The 8,611-nt window shown below is 53.6% G+C and overlaps 1 annotated feature.

Moving 5' to 3' along the window:
- Window positions 3,623-4,123: an enhancer, noted in NCBI's record as "H3K4me1 hESC enhancer chr9:137921403-137921903 (GRCh37/hg19 assembly coordinates)". NCBI's record gives its function as "activates a minimal SCP1, AML or CMV promoter by ChIP-STARR-seq in primed H9 embryonic stem cells {active_cell/tissue: H9 hESC(primed)}" and the evidence as "EXISTENCE:reporter gene assay evidence [ECO:0000049][PMID:30033119]".

Consider the following 8,611-nt stretch of genomic DNA (forward strand, 5'->3'; position numbering starts at 1 on the left):
AAAAATTGAATTAATAGTTTAAAGTATCCCTTAAAATAAAACCTACAGCCCAAATGATTTTACCGGTAAATTGTCGTAACATTTAAGGAATAAATAATACCAATTCTACACAATTTCTTCCAGAATATAGAAAAAGAGAAAATACTCCCCAACTCATTTTTTGAGGCCAGCATTATTCTAATGTCAAAGTAAGACAAAGACATTACAAGAAAAAAAAAAACTACAGACCAATATTTGTAATACACAGAGACGCAAAAATTCTCAAAAATATTGACAATTTTAATCCAGCAATATGTTAAAAAGTTAACATGCTGTGATTCAGTGGGGCTCAGCAAGGATGGTTTAATATTTGAAAAGCCAATCAATATGATTTACCATGTTCACACATTAAAGAAGAAAAAACATAGAATCATTGCAATAGTTGCAGAAAAAGTATTTTGTAAACTTCATTATTGATTCATGATAAGATCTTTCAGTAAACTAGTGTAGAAAGAAATTTTCTTAACTTTATAAAAGCCGTCTACAAAAATCTTACAGCTAACGTCACACTTTACTGGTGAAATTCTGAATTTTTTTCCCTTAATACTGAGAGCAAGGTAAGCACGACCTTGTGTCTAAAATATTAAAGAAATTTCAAAATTCAACCACAAGAAAACAAAAATCTAATAAAGAAATTCAACAAAAGAAGACATGTAGATAGTGAATAAGCCTCTAGTACACCCTCAACATCATGAATCATTAGGGAAATGAAAGTTAAAGCCATGATGAGATGCCATTTCACATTAATTACAAGGGCCGATATTTTAAAAAAACTGACAATGCTAAGTGCTGGCAAAGAGGCACAGCAACTGGACCTTTCATACACTGCTGTGGGATGCAAAAAGCTCTAGCCCCTTTGGAAACGTGTGGCCATTTCTTTTGAAGTCAAACACACCCTTACGATTATATGACCCAGCCATCCCACTCCTAGATACTTATCTAAATGAACTGAAAACCTACAGTCACCGAAAAATATGCATGCAAACAATTACAGAAGCTTTATTTACAAACACAGTGACTTTCTTCCAGAAAGCACAGGCCTGCCCTGATCTGGGGCCACTGGGAAAGACCCAGTGATCAAAAACTGAAAACACGTAGATACGGGTGTGGCATGGATAAAACAACCTTGGGGCTTCCATATGGGGGAGAAGTACTCCACAAGGAAAAGGAGCAAAGTACGGGGGAGAAGAACTCCACAAGGAAAAGGAGCAAAGTACGGGGGAGAAGAACTCCACAAGGAAAAGGAGCAAAGTATGGGGGAGAAGTACTCCACAAGGAAAAGGAGCAAAGTACGGGGGAGAAGTACTCCAAGAGGAAAAGGAGCAAAGCATTATTAATGCAACACCATGAGGGCAGGCACTCTATGCTGCTAGAGCTCAGCCCCAAAGGAGGGAAGACAGGCCTCAAAGGCTGTATACTGTATGACTCCATACATAGGAAATCCCAGGAAAGGCAGAATTATAGAGATGGAAAGCAGAGACAGGGTTGCCAGGAGTTGCGATGAAGAGAGATTGACTACAAAAGGTCAGCACAAGGGAATCTGGGGGGAATTTTCTGTTCTATTATGGATCTGTGTTGGTGGATACATGACTATCAATTTGTCGAAATCCGTAGAACTCGGCCTGACACAGTGAAATTAACTACACGACTGGCAGGCTAAGTACTGGCCCATGGTCCTAGAGCTCATAAGACCACTGGGGTCAGGTTCACACCATGTCCAGGCATCCTTGCCGCTGACACACACACACACACACACACACACACACACACACACACCTTTTCTCTGTCAGCTGAGAAGGCCAAGGAGCAACCACACCCCCAGTAACGACAGCACCCCCAGCACCCAGATCTTGGTTTCTAGCACCATTTTCCAATTAGAGAACCAGGGCTTCTTGGAGAAATGGCTGCTTCTAGAACTGGGGCAAGATGAGAGTGGGGCATAGACTTGTGGTGCCATAAGGTAACGCAGTGCCCCAAAAAAGAAAAGTTCGCAAAGGCAGGGACATGTCACAGGGGCACAGGAGCCAGCTGCAGGGGGTCCCAATGGCCACAGGTGGAAAAATTGGAACCGCAAAGTAAAGTAGTATCAGAGTATAACCTAAGGTATAGAATAAATGTCCATGAGTCCATCTGGTTATAAATGAGTGACGGAGTCAATCAATAAATGAGGAAGAAGAGATCTTTCCCATGCAGAGGCATTCCATAATTTATGCCCTCATGGAGGTGACTCAAATCTCCCCACCCCTTAAGTGTGGGCTGAGCATAGAGACTTCCTTCCGGAGAGCACAGGCCTGTCCCTGATCTGATGCCACTTGGACAGGCCCAGTAACCAGTGGATGCTGCAGCTACCCCACGGCCCTTTCAATCCCAGCATGTGGGCTGGGCAGAGCTTGCCTCTTGGGGCTGATGGGCCAGAGCTTGTTTGATGGACTCTCGGCCAGTGGCCGGCCAGTGTCCCATCAGTCATGTTTGTAGAAAATGATGTATATGGTGGTCCATTTTCAAATTAGAATGCCTCAGAGAGGCTTGGGTGCTCAGACTACAAAAGAACAAGGTACACTAAGCCCCTGCCTAAGTACCTGGCGCCTGCTTGTCGGGACCCCTTAGTTACCCTCACCCAAACCAAAAAGTTTAGTCTAAAATGAAAGTTTACTAGCCTGCAAAGTAGCTCACTTTATCTATTCTTATCAGCTTGCCTGACTAGCTGGGTCATAAGTCAAATGCTTAAACAGCCCCAGAGCTGATCATGATTGCAATGTATTATGAGCTGCAACAAAATGCAGCGAGACGGGCGGGCGTGGTGGCTCATGCCCGTAATCCCAGCACTCTGGGAGGCCGAGGTGGGCAGATCACTTGAGGTCAGAAGGTTGAGACCAGCCTGGCCAACATGGCGAAACCCCATCTCTACTAAAAACACAAAAATTCAGCTGGGTGTAGTGGCAGGTGCCTGTAATCCCAACTACTTGGGAGGCTGAGGCAGGAGAATTGCTTGAACCCAGGAGGCAGAGGTGGCAGTGAGCAGAGATCACACCACTGCACTCCAGCCTGGGCAATAGAGTGAGACACTGTCTCAAAAAAAAAAAATGCAGCAAGACAACTCTAAAGAAAACACCTAAAGCCTCTGCCCGACAACCAATAGGTGACGTCCAGGAAGATTGAGGCCCCACAGTACACAGCCTATGAGGAACCGGGGGAGGGGACTGTGCACTAGGGGATAAATTGCTTGTTGAAACTGTGCTGGGTGTGCCTGCCCATCAGACACCCGATCTTGCAAGTCTCTCTTCCGCTGTTCTCCGTGTCTCTGAGTCCATTCTTTGGGTTTGAAGAGGTGAGTTTGTTTCTCACAATGATGTTGCGGCTACATTGCGAGCCAGCCTGGTGTCCATTTAAGGGGAGCAGCTGCCAGAGCCCCGAGACACTGGCAGGGACCAGGGGACATCTGGCTGTAGTGCTGGCCTCCTCCTGAGGTTCTCCTGGATGCCCACACCCCCGAGAGGATTCAGCGAGAACCACAAGGAGGGGTGCAGCTATGTGTCTCTGCTCCTGCCCTGCTGCCAGCAGCCTCTGTCCCCATCATCCTGCGCCAGGCCAGCCATCCCCCGTGCATCCTTCCCATGCGTGCTAATCCTCCAGCAGATGCGGAAGGCAGGGCGGCGGGTGTCACCAGCCCCACACACTCTTGCTTTGACAGCCTTTGAGTGAACAAGACTCTATTTCTGCATGTGATCTTTTGCAGGAGCTTCCGCGTCCCCCATGCACTGGGGCTGCAGGAGTGAGATGTTGCCTGTCGCACCATCTCTGGGGATGAGGTCAGCTGCAAGCCGCTTTGCCCAGGGCAAATGGGATTCAAACGTGGAACAGGCTGTGCTTTGAAAAGCACTACCAGGTCTTTTCCACGAAAAACTCTAACCCTGTTCTCTAACCCTGTGACAGTGCCCCAAATTCCACCATTAAATCACAACACTCTCCCCAGAAGGTTCCCACGGAAAGTCCAGTATGCTCACCCAGCAGACAGGAGGCTCCGCACGGCGCCGCTGCTGCCTTGACTGCTAGATGTCGTCTGTGTTAGAGGGACTTCTTCACATGCCCCCAGAACCCACCTGCCCCTTGGTCACCCACTGAGACCCCCCCCCCACCCTGCGGGTTGGGCCTCTCAGCTTTACTCATAAGTACGACGGGTGGGCACAGCCCCTGCCCCCTCCTCCTGATGTGGTGGGGTGTGGGCCACCATGGAGAGCTTGGGACAGGCCCGTTCTTGGTGACAGCAGGTGTGGACTTGCTCTGCTGCTGGCTGCTTATACCTGCAGGAGGGTGAGCAGGGCAGGGCTGAGTACGTGTGGATAGGTGTAGAGGAGAGAAAGGCTAGGACTGGGGGCAGCTTCCCTACTGTCCAGCAAGGCAGGCCTGGGGGAGGTCCGAAAACTGGGGGCCGGAAAGTGCTTTGCTGGGGACTGGAGGCAGAGAGGGGTGCTGCGGGGTGGGCTCAGGGGGCTAAGCAGCGCCACCTCTGCAGCGGGGAGCCCAGGCCTGCTCCCCGCAACCCCGTACCGGGTGCCTGCACTCTTTCCTGGCCAAGCTCTCTGGAGTGTTGGGAAGATGCCCCAAACACTGGAGCCCGGTGCTGCCCACCCTGAATCTCAGGGAACTTTCAGAGCATGCAGCAGGCTGTAGCCTGACTGGAAGCTGCAAATGAGCACGAAATATGACAGCCAGAGCTTCACGGACTCTGCCGCGCTGCCCTCATGAATATGCAGCCGCTGCTACCTCGGTCGCCCTCTGCGGCTCTCCTGGGAGCAGGCAGCCACGCCAGATGCTAAGGACCCGGCTGGGGGAGCAGGGTGCCTCCAGCTGCTGGGTGCTGCAGAGACACCTGCCAGCCTCACCAAAGCCCCTTCTCAGGGCCACTGCCCTTTGGGGACCATCTCAAGAAAGGAAAACAAGGTCTTCCTGCTCTAGCATGTCCCTTCTTCTCCCCTAGATGTAGCTCTGGGAAGGAAATGCACAGCCAGCATGTGTAGCTAGCAGGAAAAGTCCTGCAAGCTCCCGGGGGGGAACCCAGCAGCCCTGCTTCTAGAACTCTGTCCTTAGTAAACAAGGGTGGATGGGCTCACACAGCCAGACACAAAGCTGTCCCTCGCGGCATCGTCGTTACAATGAGAAAAAGTAGAAGCAGCCTAAACACCCTACAGCAATATGGGGGGCTGTGGGGGGCTATGGGGAGCTGTGAGAGGCTATGGGGGACTATGGGAGGCTAGATGGGGGGCTAAATAGGGGGTTAGATGGGGGACTAGAAAGGGATCTAGATCGGGGGGGTCTAGATGGGGGGCTAGAAGCAGGGGGCTAGATGGGGGGCTAGACTGGGGGGCTAGAAGTGGGGGCTAGATGGGAGACTAGATTCGGGGCTAGATGGGGGACTAGATGGGGTCTAGATGGGTGGCTAGATGTGGGAGTTAGATAGGGGATCTAGATCAGGGACTAGATGGGGGCTAGATGGTGGTCAGATGGGGGGCTAGGTAGGGGATTAGATGTGGGGTCTAGATAGGGAACTAGATGGGGGACTAGACAGGGGTCTAGATGGGGGCTAGAAGGGGGGCTAGATGGGGACTAGATGGGGGCTAGATTGGGGAGCTAGAAGGGGGACTAGGTGGGGGGACTATATGAGGGGCTAGATGGGGGGCTAGATTGGGGGATAGTTGGGGGGCTAGATGGGGGACTAGATGGGGGGCTAGATGGGGGTTAGATGGGGGCTAGATGGGGGCTAGGTGGGGGCTAGATGGGGGTAGATGGGGGTTAGATGGGGGCTAGATGGGGGCTAGATGGGGGTTAGATGGGGGGCTAGATGGGGGCTAGATGGGGGTTAGATGGGGGCTAGATGGGGGCTAGATGGGGGACTAGATGGGGGCTAGATGGGGTTAGATGGGGGGCTAGATGGGGGGCTAGATGGGGATTAGATGGGGGGCTAGATGGGGGCTAGATGGGGGTTAGATGGGGGCTAGATGGAGGACTAGATGGGGGTTAGATGGGGTCTAGATGAGGGGCTAGATGGGGGAGCTGTGGGTGCCTGTGACCCATGAGCGTGGGCTTGTGCATGCTGTCCAGCCTCAAACCCATGTTGTGCCTTAAAGGGTGTTTGTATCCAAAACTGTGCTTCAGCCACTGGCCTGGGCTCGCAGGCTGAGCCAGAGCAGATGCACCCTGGAATCTGCCCCAGTCCTGAGCTTCTGCTGTGCGGCCCTTGCCCTGGGAGGGAGGGATAGATGGCAGCAGGGCCTGAGCCCTGAGCCCTGGGCCGGAACTCACCCCAACAAGCTCAGCATCTCGCAACCTCCAGGTAGCAAACCTTCCCCTCCTCCTCCTCCCCCGCCCTGGTCGGGGACCTGGCTCAGCTTGCGAGGCTCCCCTCATGCCCACCATCCATTCAGGTTCTCTGTCTCGGGAATTGACACTAAAAGCCTCCGTCTGGCAGTTGTCAGTGTGTGGGGGAGCACAGATTCCTGGGGAGTTCTGTCCCACACAGGCCTGCATCCCACCCCACTTCTGGTGTCCCTCACAGGTAAGTCTTTTGGGCTGCTGCGCTCACCACCTGCTGGGACCCAGGCTTCTCCAGTCTTGAAGTCCTTTCTGCTGCCACCTGCACCTGCTGAAAGGGACTTCCTGCCCAGGTGAGAGCAGCTCCTGCCCTACCAGCCAGATTGGGTCTTAACCTCGGCTCCCTGCTGCCTTCCACACTGCACCATGGCATTCGCAAGGTCAGTAGGTGGCAGTTCAGTGGATGTCTGCCTCTCCCACCAGCCTATGAGCTCCCTCATCTTTATTTGTGGGTGATTTTTTTCACCAAACAGGGCCCACATCCCCTCCTGAGCTGGTGGACGAGGCTCTTTATCTCCCTCCACTATCGCCCACCACTATCCTTCCCTCCCAGGGCAAGGGCCGCACAGCAGAAGCTCAGGACTGGGGCAGATTCCAGGGTGCATCTGCTCTGGCTCAGCCCGTGACCCCAGGCCAGGGGCTGAAGCACAATTTTGGATACAAACACCCCCACCATGAGGTTTGCTGAGCGTGCACTTTGTCCCCCTTTTACAGATTAGAGCACTGGGCTTCCGTCCAGGGATGCTAAGAGGATGGGGGTGCAGCCCTCTGGAAACTGCAGTGCTGAGGGTTCTCCTGGCAAGGTAAGCAGGAACCGGCAGCGCAGGCGAGAGGTAGCCGCCCATCTGCAAGCATGGAGAGGCGTCTCCGAGAGTGAAAGGCGTGTGAGGAAGGTCGGCGATGGGGACCCAGGTGCCCTGGCCCCGCCCTGCCCAGAACAGCCCCCATGGCACAGGCTCAGCGGCAGCAGAAGAGCCCCAGACCCTAAAAGCACCCACCGCTCTGCCCTGCCTCGGGCCTTTTGTCCAGTGGTCCATGAGCTCTGGAGATGGGCCGGCTCGCGGGGTGAATTAATGAGAAGGTGAGAGCAGCGTGTGTCATGTCTTGGGGACAAATCTGAGCCATAAAGGAACAAGGTCCTTGTAAAAAAGGATAGGCTACTTGGGAATTGGGTTGTTAACGCATTAGCATCTTTATTTGGCCCATATGAAGTGTGTGAAATGAAGGTGGCAGTAAACAGGAATTTATTTTTCGAAGTGGTCTTGGCAGAACAGCATAAGGTGCTTCTCCCGCGGCCGGGAAGGCCCCCCTGCCCACATATGCACACCCCTGCTCTCCCCGGCAGCCTTACCTGGCCTGCCCAGCATGAATATACTCCTTCCTCCTGTTTCCACCCCCATAGTGGCCGAGAGTGAGGCTGTGTCCCATGGACTCACTGAATCTCAGCACATACTAGGTGGCCACCCTCATTATCCCCATTTGCAGATTGAGAAAACCAAGGCCCAGGAGGGAGGGAGCTTTCCACTGTCACCCAGAGAAGTACCTGACCCCACCCACCACACCATCCCCTGCCTCTCCTCTTTGCTGACACCCCCAGCCACCCTGTCCCCTGCCTGTCCTCTCCGCTGACCCCACCCGCCACTTCGTCCCCTTCTCCACTGACCCCACCCACTACCCCATCCCCCTCTCCGCTGACCCCACCCGCCACCCCATCCCCTGCCTCTCCCCTCCACTGACCCCACCCACCACCCCATTGCCCTTTCCGCTGACCCCACCCGCCACCCTGTCCCCTGCCTCTCCCCTCTGCTGACCCCACCCACCACCCCGTCCCCCTCTCCGCTGATCCCAGCCGCCACTCCGTCCCCTGCCTCTCCTCTCCACTGATCCCACCCGCCACCCCATCCCCTGCCTCTCCTCTCCGCTGACCCCACCCACCACCCGATCGCCCTCTCCACTGATCCCACCCGCCACCCCATCACTCTCTCCACTGATCCCACCCACCACCCCGTCCCCTGCCTCTCCTCTCCGCTGCACCTGAATTTCCACACTGCATGTCTCGTGGAAGATCCCTGGGGCACAAGCCCCGTGTCCTCTTCTGGCAAGAACCACTCAGAATCTCAAAAGACGGTCGCTTACTGAGCACCTGCCCTCCCTTGGGCTCTATGTTGGCTTTTTGTAAAATTGTGATAAAATGCACATGACA

The sequence above is a fragment of the Homo sapiens genome, chromosome 9 (genome assembly GCF_000001405.40).
Source record: "Homo sapiens chromosome 9, GRCh38.p14 Primary Assembly".
NCBI classification, from domain to species: domain Eukaryota; kingdom Metazoa; phylum Chordata; class Mammalia; order Primates; family Hominidae; genus Homo; species Homo sapiens.